The 18,193-nt window shown below is 36.0% G+C and overlaps 1 pseudogene; it reads left to right on the forward strand.

The window, feature by feature from the left end:
• HMGN2P11 (high mobility group nucleosomal binding domain 2 pseudogene 11) lies at positions 15,187-16,367 on the forward strand (annotated as a pseudogene).

An 18,193-nucleotide genomic window follows, 5' to 3' on the forward strand; every position in this document is an offset into this window, starting at 1 on the left:
CATTGCTGGGGCATTAGTCTCAGTGCTCAGAGTAAAGTTGCCTCTGACACAGGTCTTGGGTTGGAACAATGTCATTGAGGTGATTTCATCTCTAGAAGTGAGCTTCTGGGCTTGGACAATATTGTCTGACATGTGGGACTGCAGTATATTTCCCAAGTGTATACCACTCAGGTGAACATGAGTACAACATTGGGCTTGAGAGCTAGACCTCCACCTGGAAAGATGAAACTCCCATAATGCATCAAAATACTAGAACCTGTCTGGCAAGAGAATCATCTCAATTAAACGCGGCCAGATCTAAAATCTCCCAACAGTTTAAGGTTTTCCCAGATGGGTGATGAAAGGGGTTTTGCTGCAAATAGGTCTTAACTTATATGGCCTGATTTGGGTCTGTGTGATTAATAGAGTGTTATATTGCTTGCCAATTAAAACATCCAAAGCTACCATTGGAGCTCCAGCATTATCCTGTAGGCAGACCCTCCAGTTTAGCCGATTACTATGGTCTCCTCCTTTCTTCAGCTGTCAATGTGGTTGATGAGGGCAAGTTAGTAACGTGTTTATGATAAAGGGCTTGTGTTAGCCACAGCTGAGCTTTTAAACTCAGAATTTGTCCTGTTTGGTTGAAACAATGACTTACTTGCAAGGTTTGAGCTTCCAGATTGCAAGCTAATGAAAGCACTCAGACCAATACTAACAAGAACAATACTCAACAGGTTGATGTGCAATTGTACTTGACAGGCTTTTGCTATTTGATGGTGATTTTTCTCCAGCATATATTATTACCAAGGAGGGGTTTTCTGGTGTTATAATTATGGCATAATGTGTTGATTCTATTATTATCCTCAAATGTGATTTACTGAGTTAATTTTTTAATCTCCATTTTTGGCAGCCCATATTGTCTGTGGGGTTTTCCCAGAGAGGTGATGAGAAGAGTTTTGCTGCAGACAGATCCTGTGTGTGTGTTAGGCCATTCTTTATTATTTTTTTGAGATGGAGTCTCGCTCTATTGCCCAGGCTGGAGTGCAATGGAGCAATGTCAGCTCACTAAAACCTCCACCTTCCAGGTTCAAGTGATTCTCCTGTCTCAGCCTTCTGAGTAGCTGGGATTACAGGTGTGCGCCACCACGCCTGGCTAATTTTTGCATTTTTAGTAGAGACGGGGTTTCTCCATGTTGGTTAGGCTGGTCTCAAACTCCTGTCCTCAAGTGATCCACCTGCCTCGGCCTCCCAAAGTGTTGGGATTATACGCATGAGCCACCGTGCGTGCCCAGCCCAGGCCATTCTCACATTGCTATAAATAAATACCTGAAACTGGGTAATTTATTAAAAAAAAAAAAAACACAGAGAGAAGGTCGGGCACAGTGGCTCATGCCTGTAATCCCACAGTTCGGGAGGCCTAGGCAGGCAGATCACCCGAGGTCAGAAGTTCGAGACCAGCCTGGCCAACATGGTGAAACCCCACCTCTACCAAAAATACAAAAATTATCTGGGCATGATGGCACTTGCCTGTAATCCCGGCTACTCAGGAGGCTGAGGCAGGAGAATTGCTTGAACCTTGGAGGTGGAGATATCAGTGAGCCAAGATCGCACCATTGCACTCCAGCCTTGCTCCAGCAGAGCAAGACTCCATCTCAAAAAATAAAAAAAATAAAGAAAGAAAAGAGAGAGAGAGATTTAATTGCCTCACAAGTTCTGCATGCAGGCTTTACAGGAAGCAAGGTGCTTGCATATGTTTGGTTTCTAGGGAGGCTCAGGAGGCTTACACTCACGGCAGAAGGTGAATGGGGAGCAGGCATATCACACAGCAAAAACAGGAACAAACAAGAGAGGGTGTGGGAAGGGAGGTGCCACACACTTTTAAATGACCAGATCTCTCAAGAACTTACTACCATGAAGACAGCAGCAAGCCATGAGGGACCATGATCCAAACACCTCCCACCAGGCCCCACCTTTAGCATTAAAGATTACAGTTCAACAACAGATTTGAGCAGGAACAAATAGCCAAACTATATCACTGCAATACTAATTTCAATTTACTAAATTAAATTAGACCATCAGAGGGACAGTCCAGATTAATTATCCTCTTCTTAACCTGAATATTGAAGATTATTTGGGTGGTAGAAATGCAGCCTCAAATGATTCCCCTAACAAATGAGCAGGTTCCTAGCACATGAGATAATTTGTGATTAATGAGGCCTGGAAGAATATGTGCCCTTTATTTGGCCTCCAGCACTTATGGGAAGAGGGTAGGATTAAAAACTCATAAGATATGGGGAGGCATTATTAAAGGGCCTAGTATGTAAAGAGTCTTTACATGGAAGTTACACATATTCTATTTTAAATATATTAAAAAGACATGAAAAGGTTTTTTGAGGTTTGTTGTTATTGTTGTTTGTTTGTTTTGAGTTGGTGTGAGGTATTTGTTGGCTAAGGGGTCTTAAGAAAGACTAAGACCTGGGGCAAAACAAAGACCCATTTATATCTCCACTTACCATTTCATAATTTAAATAGACATCATTTGAGGAGATCAACTGGACTGTCAACTAAACCAGCTGCCTGGGACCTATCAGGGAAATGAAAGTTTTAGTGAAAGTCTTTCAAAAGCCCAGCACTGTGTACTTTGAGAAGGGAAATATGTGTCTTGGTCATGATCGGTAATGTCTCCAACTCTAAAGGGAATAAAGAGTGTCCTGGTGAGACCTTGTGTTGTGGCTTTAGTATATGTAGTGATATGTGTGATCTTGATTTATATTTTGGGTTTCTGTAAGACAAGAGATTTCCATAAAGGGGACAACTCTTAGGCAATGGCCCAAGAGTTTCTAAAAATGTGCAGATGAGGTATTTGGTGATCAGTACATCCAGTCCTACAATGACTATCTGAAGTTTGGTCACTTGCGTCCAGTCCTTTATCAGAGACATCCTAGTTAAGAGATAGAAAGCAGCAATATGCCACTCACCTCTTTCACCAATGATGCTGGAAATAACATCTGTACAGCCTACAATTCCTATGGCTTTTCATTCAGTTAATTCCAAGGGAGTCCGAGGTACAGGTAACCAAGGGGCCTTTATTGGGGATGACCTCTCCCAGCACCCTGTCTAATGCACCTGGCAACAGACTGAGGACAGAGAGGTCATCCCCTCCTACAGGTGGAATATACCAGAGGGGCCCAGGTTTGGCTCCACCTTGTATCGAGGGGGCCTCAGTAGCTGTGTAGAGCTTGTGGTGTGTTACTTTCATTGCTGAAGGCATAATGGGCAGCTGGATATGAAGAGTCACAGACTCGGGATATATGAAAGGCTCTATTTCCAGAAGAATACAGAAAGCAGCCAGTAATTTTCTTTCTAATGATATACAGGCTGGAGCCAAGAAGGGCAATATTTTGCTATCAGAAGCCTATGGGTAACTTATAGCTATCATAGGTTGTTCAAAGACCTATTAAGAGGCACAAGAATGAGTTACTAAAGCCTCTACAATAATTCACCTTGGGGTGCATTTATTTTTTCCAGGTTTAATAAAAGGTATAATTGGGCTATTAAACAAAGAAGCAGTGGGCACAATTACCTCTAGTTAGGTCTTACGTAGTAAGTTTTAATCCTTCAGGGCCCTGTTTTAACTTACATTGGACCATTTTAACTATTTTAACTGGGGATTTATGGGATTCCATTTCATCCAGCCAATTTGCAAGTGCCAAAAGTGTATTTTTCATTTTTTGCTCATTGCATCAGTGTATCTATGCCCACCATGAAATAGTTTGGGGTAATGAGTACTATAACAATGGGAAAATTAGACAAGAGGATAGTTAAAATGAAGCATACCTATTTTTCCACTATTTTATATTTAGTTATTTTGCTAAAATTAGGGAGGACATTTTGTGTAAATTTAGAAGAATACGTTGGTATAACTATATTTGAGACCCAGTATTAGGTCTATGAAGCTCTGTGAGTTCAATTGGTGTCTTTTAGCAAATGTTAAAGTTGTATTAGAACCTGTGTTGTAGACATACAAAATCCAATCAGTGCCCTTTTAACTCTTTTGTTATGTAATTTTTACAAATAAACTTTGAATTTCTAGTTGGGTAAGATTTTGGACCTTTAATTTAATAAGATATTTGTATGTATTTTTTACTTCTTCCCTTTGTATCTTGTTTTTTGAAATATTTTTTAAACTTTCTTTGTTTGTTTGTTTGTTTCGGGCTTCTAGCCACCCAAAGCTATGATTTTTAGTTTTTGTCTCTGTCTGATAGCTCATAGTGCCAATCTTCTAGGCAGTTACAGGAAAAGGGTTGGGGACCGGGTCCTGTGACCTGTCTCCTTGGTAGCCATCTCTAGTTTCAAGGCTTCTCAGTCCACCTCTGAGGATCAGGGTCTGCACTGAGAGTGCTATAGCAGCCTCTCCTTGGATAGCTTCCTTGTCTGAAATTTCAGTCCCTTCACATGTAGATATACAGTGGCAGTTACTAAGGCCTGAACACAGTGGCTAGGGTTTTGCATTAGATAAGCAACTAGGTAACTTCAATAGGTGGAGAGTAGGGGAGGGTGCAGGGATGAAATATTTGTCATCCCTTGCCCCCTTTGAATTAAAAACAGAGTGCTGGCCTCCAATGGTGAAACCTACAATACCCCTGAGGTTTAGGGAGCAGGAAAATCATGGTCATCCAGCAAGTTAATGCAGGAGCAAAGAAAACAGATAGGTTGAAAATTAAGTATCTATAGTTTTAATAAAAAATATGTCAGAGAGAGCTTGCTTTGGTTTTCTCATGGAAGATATGGATCTATTGAATTTACATAAGGCAGTGGTTATCATGCATTGGAAAATTCCACCAAAGGTAAGAAATAACACGTCTTCTTTGGTAGATTTTTAAGATTTAGAAATCCAGTTTGACTGTGATTAAAAATTGGTCAATTCATTATTTGTTCACTATATTGACAGTTTTATTTTCCCACTCATCTCTATTATTCATGTGAAACCCCAATTTCTTAATAATAGTAATAAGAAAGGTAATAACAATTTACAATTATGGAGTGTTTACTCTAAGACAAGACCTAGGATGTTTTGTAATCCTTATTTCCTTTCCTCATATAGCAAAACCCCTTCACATTCAAGCTGACATTCTCTTCAAATAAGTAACTTAGAACTGGCATATGTGTAACTAGATATGTTACACATATGTTCCTTAAGTGAGGGTACAATGAGTTTGGACACTATATTTCTTTAAATTTTAGAGCTAAATAAAGTCCATTTTTCTTCAAGATTCTCTGAGTAATTTTTTTTTCAATTGCATTTGCAGACTGAGATCCTCAACAAAGTTAAGCAGAATAAAGTGATCACGGCCAGAATTAAAGGTAAATTCTTGTAAAAAACATCTCAAGTGTAGGTCAACCGCCCCAGAGTCTCCCTCTTATAATTGCCTCTGTCTGAGACCCATCAAGTACAATTACTCTCCATGAGAGTAGAGGATGTCTTGCTTACTTCCTTTATCTCCTGCCTCAATTATCAGGACTTCCCTCACAATTCCATCTAGCATAGCTCCTTCTGTCTCTCTCCAACAACTTTTCACTCTTTTTATTTTTTTTATTTTTTATTATACTTTAAGTTCTAGGGTACATGTGCACAACATGCAGGTTTGTTACATATGTATACATGTGCCATGTTGGTGTGTTGCACTCATTAACTTGTCATTTACATTAGGTATAACTCCTAATGCTATCCCTCCCCCCTCCCCCCACCCCACAACAGGCCCCGGTGTGTGATGTTCCCCTTCCTGTGTCCAAGTGTTCACTCTTTACCATCTCACCTTGCTCTATTTTTCTTCAGAGTACTTTTATTAACTGACATATTTGTAATTATTATTTATTACCTAACTCACTTTTCAAGAATATCCCCAGCACTTAGAACAATGGCTGTTATATAGTAGGTGCTTTATAAATGTTTATTAACTATATTAATCAAAAACATATTTTGAACATTCTTAAAATACATTGTTTTGTACTTATATAAAACACTGCTAACAAATTTACAGAACTTAAATAAATACAGTAAACTCCCACCAGTGTTAGAACTTTCCGTACATTTCCTTAGAAAAAAACTTAATGAAAAATTATTTATAACTGGTTTATCTTTTAACTTGCTAAATAGCTTAATAAAACTACTTCTAGTCATCTGACCTTCCTAAGTGTAGAAACCATGGCAAGAGTTTCCAAAGTCCTGTGGGAAATTGTTTGAAGAGTTTTCCCCATGCAGTAGATTTAATAAATAAGAAATACTAAGATGTAGAAATCTTCTTTGAACATAGCAATTATTTTCTATTAATTAATTTTTTTCATAGTAGTTAGTACAAATTCCTGCAATAATTACAATTGTAATAGGAATGCAAATTCCCGACTGCACTTTATTGATATTATCTCAACTGAGATACTCTGAAGAAAACCAAGTAGTAGTTTGAACTTTTAGGTTGTGTTTTGATTTTATATCAGATCTCCCAATTTAAAAAGCTAGTCACCTGTCAAACAAACCTCACTTTGTCCAAAATATTGACTTCTCATTTCTAGGGAACACAGTGTGTTTTCTAACAAACTTATTTAAAAGTTAAGTGCATTTATAAAATTATAATTGAAAACAAGGAAAATATTTTAAGATAAATTAATGAAGTATTCATCCTACCAGGTTTAACTTAACTTTTAAGTTACCAGAAATTCAAATATTCTGTGAAATATTAACACAGTTAATTAAATACAGATAAAAGTTTAAGAGCAAGAATATTACCTTCTTTCTCTCTCACACACACACATGCACACACAAACACCAACACAGACACACACATCATAATGTTTGATCAGAGAATACAAGCAAAATTTGAGGTCAAATGCACAGCAGCAGAATTAATTTACAAGATAAAAACTAGGAATAAAGATAAGTAGAGCTACATGTATAAGAAAATAGAATTATGTTTTAAAATAGCTTTAGAAATAGAAACAGCTATTTATAGGGAAACAAAGGGGATGTAATCAAGAACCTTCTAGAGACCAGACACATGAGTAACATAATGGTCCAAATTCACTCTTGATTTCTATGAAGGGCCCAAATATTCATAGAGTTCTGTCTCTTTCAACATGGTTGCCAGGAAACACTTTCTCATATTCCGTACGGCCACACTGCTTTAATAGAGTTAATAATATTATACACACACACACACACACACACACACACACACATGCATGTGCACATGCATCTTTGGTTGAGTTCTAAAGATAGACTCTTAAATTCAAGACTTCTTATATTCTGCAACTCATAGAATAATGCTAGCCCCATACTTATTTAAACCCAATGAAAGTCATAAGACATATATGCCTTTGAGTTTTAATATCTGTTTCTCCTCTTAAATTATGAGAGTGAAGCGTTAGTGACCTGTTTATATCACAAAGCCAATAAAGTAAAAATTAAAACTCATTTTTATCTTTAAATGCAAACTCAATAAGTTTGTTGATCAGAAATAGTAACAAGTTAGATGTATTGCTTATTTGCATCTTAGTTCTCCCACAAAAATTATTTCAATTGAGTTTCAAATATTATTTTTGCTTATTTTAGGAAAATTATTTTTGTGTTTCAGAATTAGTTTCACTAAAGACTGAAAATACAAGTCCCAAACATAAAGCACAACATAATTGTTTTTTAAAAAGCAAATTAATATAACGCAAGAAAAAGGTACGCATGCATACATTTAATGTCAGCCTTATATGCAGCTTGACTGACAGAGTTTTAATTCTCAAGAGACTCTGCCTACTGTGAATATATTCCTTCAGAATTTCTATTTAGAGATATGTAGGGTATAAAGATCAACATTGAGATGTATTTCAAAATGACTGAACTGCTCAACAATTTGTTGAAATACAAGGTAAACCAATTACAATTTATTTCTGAATTCATTTATAGTATTTTATTCAAATAATTTAATATTTGGTTGAATGTAAGAATGTTATTTTTAATCAACCACTTAATTGCCACAGACAGTCACCTTGTAAATGTCACTGAGTACTTTCATATGTAAGTAACAGTTCAAATGTAATGCCAACATCAAATAAAGATTTTCCATATTGCCAAATAAAAGTAATTATCTGAAACAGAAACTGGGGAAATTTTTGAAATAGTATCTCATTAACCATCATTGGTCTACAAAATGATAGCAGTAGAAATGCAGCCTACAATAATAATAAGAGTATTGTGTATGTGTGTGTGTGTGTTCCTATAAATCTAATTTTATGCTTTCATTGGCTTCATGAGGGCATGGAGAGGGCAAAAATGTCTCCACCAAGACGTGGGACATGAGAATAAGATTTCACTTTGGCAGTTAAATTCTAAATTCAACAAGCACATGTAAGATCAGAGATACACAAATATATGAGAACAGAATCACTTGCCAGCAAGAGGAACTTGACAGTAAATGGATCAATAAATTACCTGCTAAGTTTAAAAATGTGCCAGCTGGAAAAAAAATTGTCAGAAAGGTATACAAAGAAAAAAGGAGGCATTTTGGCAGCAGTCATCCATCATTAAGCAAGGAAGAGATTGCTTTGAACCAATAGCTGAACCCCTCATATGGAATAAAAAGTAAATCTATTGAGAAAATGGACATATTTGGTGTTTTAGCCTGTAGGCATTAAATATTCAAATGATATAACTACTGCTCAGCTATATCCCAGCCTCTCTAACACCAGTTCTGGTTCCGTATTCAGCCAGCAATCTTCTGATGGTGGTTTTCTCATGCAGCTTGCCTAAAGGAAATGTGCTATGGCAGTTATATTTCTATTGTAAGAAAATAAATTGGCATTGTAACTTATATATGTCACCTTTGATTTTAATCAACATGAGATAGCCTTTTCAAGCTGGATCAACTTGATACTGTTGAACTGTAACAAGAATTTGTCCTTAAAAAGCAGAAGACCAGGTCACCCTATCCTACACTATGTTTAAATAAACATGGTAAATATCCTTTTGCAATGTCTCTCTTTGGCAAACTTGTGATCCCTTTTTCACGATATCTTTAAGAAGAAATCTACAAATACTATTGCAGTATACTACAAATAATTATAAACTTCTAAGTAAGTATATTTTCTAATTTTATAAAATATTTATAAATGTTCTTTGTAATTCCATTATAGACCATATTATAGACAAAAATGTTGTTATATATCTTCTTCCCCTTACTAGAAATTAAAATTTTCTTACTCCGATTTAAATATCTAATTTTATTAAGACTTTTTAAAGTATGCATAGATGTGAAGAAATTTGCATATTTTCTAATTCCTTCTTAATAGAACTCCACTTATTATGATACTAAGGTATCTATCATTTGGGAATTCTGCTCCTATTATTTATTTCAAGATTTTACTTCAAGCTCTTGCATTCCAAAAGGACATACAGATGAGTTATATGTAGGCTTCACATAATTGTCTCTGAATAATGCTTGAATTCATTCTTAATCAAAAGCAGGAATCTTTCCATGTAAAGGTTGAATCCTGTTAAATAAAGACTGAATTTTGTAGTATCTGAACGCTAGCCCTATTACACATGATAATGACTATTTATGATATTCACTAGTAATTTAAAATCCTTCAATTAATAGACAGTGAGATGAATGTTTAAATAAGCCTTTAATACCTTTACGCTTGTACCTCTGGGTTCAGGTTTCCTACTCAGACTCCACTTTAACTAATTCAATAATTAAATGTTTAATATAAAATAATCATTGAATAATAAAATCAACACCTTATACATTCGGAACGACGTGGGTCATTCATTCATACATTTATTCTACAAGTACTATGTCTAACTGATGGACGCTGATAAATCAGATTACAAACTGGTAACAGAGGTACCTCAATGCACAGAGAATATATACACACAGAACGATAAGACACATAAAAGTAGGTATTTGCTTTAGATAATTATTTGATTTTAATTCAATTGAAATAATATTTAGTTGAATATTTACTTCATGCTAAAAACATGCTACATGAAAACTGTGCAGAGTTGAAGAAAGGATTAAAGAAGACACAATTCAAAACAGAACTTAAGCATGCTTTTATAAATACATATACCATGAAGCTGGAAGCCATCATTCTCAGCAAACTAACACAGGAACAAAAAACCAAACACCGAATATTCTCACTCATAAGTAGGAGTTGAACAATAATGTTCTCACTCATAAGTGGGAGAGAACACAAAGACACAGGGAGGGGAACATCACACACTGGGGCCTGTCGTGGGGGACGGGGGCAAGGGGAGAGAGAGCATTAGGACTACTACCTAATGCATGCTGGGCTTAAAACCTAGATCAAGGGTTGATAGGTGCAGCAAACCACCATGGCACATGTATACCCATGTAACAAACCTGCATGTTTTGCACTTGTATCCCAGAACTTAAAGTAAAATATATATATATACACACATATACATACAGAAATTTGGAGATAGGACAGACTGAAAAGAATAACTCTCTTTAGCAAATATGGAAAGGGTGGTGATGAAAGAAAATGGAATTTAGGGGAAAACATCACAGAAACAATGTGGATCTTAAAAAATAACTGGATTGTTAACAAACAGTGGCATTCCAAGCCAAGGCAAGAGCATATGCAAAGGCATAGAAGTTCACAAGTGCAGGCTTTTTATTCTGGAATAGCACTCTGCTTAATGTCCTTGTGGTGGTATTTTAATGGAGGATGGTCTCTGAAGATATTGCTGTAAAGATGATTTAGGTGAGAATCATTTAATTCAGGCATTATCATTCAAAAACTGCCACATGATAGTCACTCTGATTGACCCTGGAAGTACAGAGAGAATAACTGTACCTACCTTATAGAATTGCTGTGTGAATTAAGTTATTTGATATTCTTAGAGCATTTAATTCAGTGTTTGATTTTTAGGGGAAGCTTATTGTAGAACTGTTAGCTTCTTGTAGAACTCAAAAGTAGAGCTGAATCTAAAAAAATACAGATTTCTGAAGTCACATGAATATGTATGGTTGTTTCAGCCATGGCAGTTTAGAAGAGATGGCTCAAGATGAAGACCTGGCATAAGAACACAAGCTGTCCACACTAATATCCTCAATGCACAGAGAAAATAGTGAAAAATAGGCTTATTTTAAAAAGCATTCAGCTAAGTCAGATTAAAAGGAGAGACTGGAATTTCATAGGCCATGGAAGATGAGAGTGTCAAAATGGAGTGTTTGTCCATCCTTATCACATTCTTAGAGGGTTGGCAAAGTAATTGAACTGGAAAGAAGTCAATAAGGTTTTGGTTTCCAATGACAAACACTGTTCCTAAAAAGTGAAAATAAGGAAGAAGTCAGATTTTAATGGGATGACCAGGACCTACATAGTATAACAATCATTGGCAACATGTTCACCAAGTGTGATGATAAACAGAGGAAGAGAAAGAAGATATTTTTTAAAGAGAAGGAAACTCAAAGATTTTTAGTGTTTCTGTTCATTTATTTTACGTTTATGTATGTGAACTTTAAAGATAGGGAAGATGAGCATTTTGTTTAGAGGAAGGAGAAAGGGAAGCTTCTTGAAATTAAAGGAAAGGGTAACGGATAAATTTCTCATCTGGGGTGAAACATCACAGACTTCAAAATTCAGGGCATCGACATTCAGGCAAGGAGCAGCTACATCTATCTCTAACCCTCCCTGATTTATGAAGTAAGATATCCTGATATTCTGCTTGGCTTGGTAGTAGGTAAAACAGCCTACAGATAACAGGAAATCTCAACTGGCATATATAGATGAGACAAGGATAGGTTAATGAATGGGATCAATCAAACACATGTAGGGAAGTCAAGGCATTTTAGGCAGAGGAAATGACAAGAATAAAACGAATAGCTTTTCATTTCCACTTGCTGTCTTCTTTCCATTAATGATAGGTATAAGACAGGCAACATGGCATAATGGCTAAGAGCATGGAAACCTGATCCAGCATGAGATTGGATCCTGACTCTACCACTTATTATATGTATAACTCTGTGATAGGTCATATGTAAACAATTCCCAAGGACAAACTCATGTGATGGCTCCAAAACATACAGCAGCTGAGGGAATGACTGCAGTAGTCCTAATGGGAAATTTGGGTTGCATACTTTCAGTGCTTGATTCTCCTAATCTGTAAAAGTGGTTTTCAACCCATCTAGAAGGCAGAGGCAAGTAATGCTGCTAAACATCCTACAGTACACAGTAGCACCTCCCACAGTAAATAATTATCCAGCCCAAAATATCAGCAGTGTCAAAGTTAAGACATCTTAATCCAAAAAATGGAGACAATAATTGTTGTGTACCGGGCTCATAAAGCTGTTGTAAGGTTTAAATATGTTAACCCTTGTAAAGCATGTAGAATAGTGCCTAGTGTTAAATGTACACAATAAAGGCCAACTAACATAAAAATAATAACGACAATGATGATAATGTCTCAAATTCTATCCTATATTACTTCTTAAAAGTACATGAAATTCATCTCACCATTGTACCCATGTATAAAGATAATTCAAGAGGCACATATCTATATGAGTAAAGAAGGCTTCTTAGACTATTTAACTGATATAAATATTTCTGGTTAAAAAGTAAAATATTATTTAGGATAGCCATTGTTCTAAGATAAATAACGAACTTAACTGCTTTTGTTTTCTCATTGAATTGTCCAAACATTTCAATGATAAATATGTTCAATTTTTTTTCTTATGACAGAATATTTGATTTTATTTAGAAGTAATATGTATTTGTAGGAAAAAGAACTGTGGTGAATTTTAATACAGAAAAATAAATATAAAACAAACACTTGAGCAGAGAAAAATATGCAACCATGACTATAAAACTAATGATGGTTATTTTCTTTCCCTACCCAGCAACAGAACTTGTATTTTCATTTCCTGTCATTCATTTATTATTTCAAAACTTGTACGGGATAGAATCCCCACAGCTGCAACATTAAAAAAAAATTTAAAAAATGAATAGTTTTAATTTTAGTTTACTTAAACATGTAAGTTTGTATTGTTGCTTTGTTTCAATTTGTTTCTTTGTTTTATCTCATATAACAAGAATTCCACCAATGTGGCGACAGTTACAATAGGTCAGGGCTCTGTTTCCATTTGTCTTTTGTTTTTCATGGTTCCATCTTCCTTCTTCTTTGGGCTTCATTATCAGACAAGTAGAAAAAAGCTAAGATACTTCTTGAGAGTCTTTTAAAGGTCCAATATACAACAACATCCAGAGATAAGAAAAGGGTTTTTATTCTTATTGAAATCATAACACCTTGGCCAGAAGTTCTCCTTCCAGCAGATTTTCCCTTTTAACTCACCGACTTACGAATAAACAAATCAAATTTTTTTTTTTTTTTTTTTTTGAGACGGAGTCTCGCTCTGTCACCCAGAGCTGGAGTGCAATGGCGCGATCTCGGCTCACTGCAAGCTCCGCCTCCCAGGTTCACACCATTCTCCTGCCTCAGCCTCCCGATTAGCTGGGACTACGGGTGCCCGCAACCACGCCCGGCTAATTTTTTGTAGTTTTAGTAGAGATGGGGTTTCACCGTGTTAGCCAGGATGGTCTCGATCTCCTGACCTCGTGATCTGCCCGCCTCAGCCTCCCAAACTGCTGCAATTACAGGAGTGAGCCACCACGCCTGGCCAAACAAGTCTATTTCAAACAGAATTATGCCATCACCAGTTTAGACAAATATGGCTTCTCTTCTAAATAAATGTTTTCCCAGAATAAATGGCTATGAGGCAGAGGAGACTATTTGATTAAAGCCGAGATTATCTTAGGAAAGAAGAAATAGAAAGGTTAGACAAGGGTTCTGTATCACTTCATCCTACACTTTAATGTGTACATGAACCATTTAGAGATCTTGATAAAGTGCCAATTTGGAACCAGTAGTCCTGTAGGTAATCTTAGATCCTGAATTTCCAATAACTTTCCAGTGATGCCAATAATCCTGGCCCCTGGACAAAAATTTGAGTAGGAAGGTGTGAGAACTTTCATTATGCACTTACTCTGAATTTGGTCTTTACTAGTACTTGAAATGCAAAGTAAAATAATCATGGTCTGTATCCTCAAGGAAATCAAGAGTAATGGGGAATTTATAGTCTAGTGTTAGTCTAGATTTCTAGTGGGAAAAGAAAAATACATGAATATATCATTACAAACTTGAAATTTGAAATATGGTTATCCTTACACTCTCAGTATAAAATAAGTTGATATTTAACTCTTATGGATTACATGCTAATGTAATCACCTTGCAAAAATATTTAAAAGTGTTAAGTCATTTATTCCTATTGATAATTTTAATAGATGTGATATGGAGATAAACTCTATATTTTATCTCTACATCTCTAGGTACCGAGATATAGTGAGTACTTTTTTAAGTTTATAATAGCTTCTCTATTCACCTAATTATTTGAAATTACTTATAAAATTATTTCTGATGTACTCAAATATTTTGTAACAACAGTGCACTTTATTGTGATAAAAATAAACGGTCTACACATTTATGGAGTTTTTTGTTAAACTTCAGAATACAAGAATTGGTTGTCATATTACTCTAGATTCTCTGAGAAGCAGGCACCAAAATAAAATTTAATGAGAAAGAAATCTCACAGAGGAAAAACCTGTGAGAGAAAATGGGGAGAGAGCTAAGGGATGCTTACAGAGTCATTAAACCATGATACTGCTAAAAAAAAAAATAATAATAATAAAAGAGGGAGGTAAATTTTACTTAGTTGGTGTGGCAGCATTTCAAACTGCCATGTATACTTAAGGCAAGTTAGGCAGTTAGGCAAGGCAGATGAAGAGTCCTCAAGCCAAAGCTGTGCATCAGAGGACAGCTGCATCTCCCAGGAACAGGCCTGCGTTGGTATCCTGCCATACTCAATCTTTGGGAGTAGCCTGAGGTTGTCCATCAGCGCAAGAATCTATGTGAATTTCAAAGCACTGCTGCTAGGCCCTCGGACAGTTAAGCTCCCTGCAGCTAGAGACCTGAGAGGCACATTCTCATGGACATCATGGTTATATCAAATAGACAGTGTCCTTTGCAGAGCTAATAGAGCCAAGCCAAGTTCCTTACATTTAAATTTGTTCTATTCAGCCATAGGCATAAAGTGACAATTGATCTAAAGGTGCTTTCTGATATCTTGAAAATAACTCCAGGAACAGTGTGAATAAGAAGAGGCGAGAACCACCCCCGGACCGACCAAAGCCCGCGCGCCACTGCATCCCGTGCCCAGTGCCTACGTCCAGCCGCTGTCGCCGCCACCATGCCCAGGAGAAAGGCTGAAGGACATAAAGTCAAGGTGAAGGATGAACCACAGAGAAGATCCGCGAGGTTGTCTACTAAACCTGCTCCTCCAAAGCCAGAGCCTGAGCCTAAAAAGGCCCCTGCAAAGAAGACAGAGAAGGTACCCAAAGGGAAAAAAAGAAAAGCTGATGCAGGCAAGGAGGGGAATAAGCCTGCAGAAAAGAGAGATGCCAAAACAGACCAGGCACAGAAAGCTGAAGGTGCTGGAGATGCCAAGTGGAGTGTGTGCCTTTTTGACTGAGTGTGTACTTCTGGTGGCTGTACAGTTTGAAATACTATTCTGATCAAGTTTTATAAAAATGCAGAATCTTGTTTTACTTTTTTTAAGCTATGTTGTTAGCACACAGAACACTTCATTGGTATTTTAGGGGGAAGGGGCATATGTAACTAATAGAATGTCTCTGAAGCTGGATTGATGTAGGGAAAACATCTTTCTCTTCTAGTTTTGAGGGACTTCTTTTTGGCTCCCAGGAGGAGAGATTCCCTGATTTTGCACACACGTTCACCTTGGCACAAAAGCCTTGTGGTATGGAAAAACAAATTCATTTTTATGTCCTCACTCCCTTTCCATCTTTCAGCAGAGACTTAACTCCCTAAAACCCAGCCATCTGTTGGGACCTGACCCCCAATCCTTGGTAACCAGTGTGTCAGCCAATCTGGACTTCCAGTGATGCCACTGAGATGGCACCTGTCAAAAGAGCATTGGTTCCCGTTTCTAGATTGTGGATTTTAAGATAAATTCTGCCATTTTCATTTCACTTCCTGAAAGTCAGGGTCAGCTCATGAAAAGTTGTTAAACAACACACTAAATGTGAAATGTCAACCCTCACTCTAAACTTTCCCTGTTCAGAGCATCAGATGAAGACTTCATTGAGTTTTATAGTGGCTTTCTGATTTTTGGTAGTCCATTGAAGAAGGGAGTTTGAAAGTTGCTGTATACTGTTAACGACTGTCTGCCCACGTCCTGCCTGAAATACCATGATTGTTTATGGAAAGTATCTTTAATGAAGATGGATACAGTTTGGCTTTGGAAAAAAAAGAAAATAACTTCAATTTATCTTATGTACATAAGCAAAAATATTAGATTTAAAATTCTAGTATACATGAGACTTCAGGATGCTTTGCAAAATTCTCACTTTGTGAGGAGTTAGGTATTAAAACTGGACATGCTGAAGGACACATTTCAGTACATTCCAGGAAAGCCTTAACATGAAAACTTAACACTACAGCTACTTGCTGCTGAATGGTGTAACTTGGGCAACACAGAAGTAGGAAAAAGCTAAAGTGATGAAAATCACACCTGGAAGATTCCCAATGTATTGCGTGATACACAAGCAAAGACCAAATGTTGGGAACAATATAAAAAGTATAGTGTTTAATCCATTTATAAAAGAAATCTTGAAATTTAAATACAACAGATATATGTGATGATGTCATGGTCAATTTCTTTAGCAGTATTTATTACCTTCCTTTCATAGAAATTTCTATATTAAAAAATTAATTCAGGATCATCAAAATTATTCCAGTTCCTTGAATTTTCAGTCACTGCTGTGATTTCAGTGGCATGTTCATTCAATGAAAGAGTGAGCAAGATGCTCAAATGTTATGAAATGTCAATGACTATATATGGTGAGAAGAGAATAACTAATTTAGCAAAGCATCAAGACTTGGCTTTAAATTATTGCAACTGTCAAGTTCTGAGAAGAAAACAACAGCTGCCTAATGCCTACATTCAGGAATGGGGTTGTTCTGCAATCAAGACATCTGGGCAACCACAAGTCAGAAATAATTTTTCAAATAGTGACTAGTTTTTAAAATGTATTCTGTAGTAGCAAATCAAATAATCAATTTTATTAGTGCATTAATGTGGAACAAACTTTTGGTTTGTCTTCATGCAATTTATATTACAAAACTAATCAGTTCAACAAAAAATGGGGTGCCCACTGTTATTGTCAACTTCTTTCATGGCTGCATAGTATTTCTGGAAATATATACCAAGATAAATTGGGAGCAATAAGCATAATTTTATTACTTTTATTTGAAATAAAGGCTTACTCTATGAGAAAAGATAGTACTTTACCTGCTACAAAACATCTACATTGTGCTTTTTGATGGTTAGCAGATTTAATAAAAAGCTAATTGTTTCATGTCATAGTTGAGCAAAGTCAACTAAGAAACCTAATTGAAAAGATTTCAAGTCTTGGGGAGATAAAGAAAAGCCAAAAAAACCTAGTTTGAAAGTGGAATTTAGTGTGTTAAAATTTCAAAAGCAAAACATTTTGTAAAGCTTTGAGAAAAAAAATATAGTTTGGAACTTAAAAGAATAAATTTATGCTTCAGAAGTTTTGAAATACTATGGAAATGTAACATACTATTAATAAACAGTATACTCCCACAATTATTATCACAAATATAATATACCCGACAATCAGAATAAAATTCAAAGACTGCAACTTGAAAACCTCTCACAATTACTACTAAAAGGAAAATCAGTGTGCTTTTAGAATATAATATTTTAGAAAATTGCTTATAAATATTAAAAGAAGCAGGTGCAGTAGTTTTCTTTGTCATAAATTAGAAGAGTCAATCTCTTATGCTTTTCAGTTTACATTATTGCTTCCATTTAAATCCTGAGCAAATTTTAGAAAAAAAAATTAAAAAGAGATGCTTAATGGTTGAAAACTCTATGACAGAGGTAACTGAATTTTAAAACTGACTTCTTCAAGTCAAAGGGCCATAGGAGATTATTTCAACTCTTTTGAATTAAAAATCTTTTATTGAAGGTCTCTGACACAAGGACCCAATTGAAACTTTTCAAAAAAATATTTAAAGTTGGTAACCAGATGTAATGCTAATATA

Source organism: Homo sapiens, chromosome 7, assembly GCF_000001405.40.
Source record: "Homo sapiens chromosome 7, GRCh38.p14 Primary Assembly".
Classification (NCBI taxonomy): domain Eukaryota; kingdom Metazoa; phylum Chordata; class Mammalia; order Primates; family Hominidae; genus Homo; species Homo sapiens.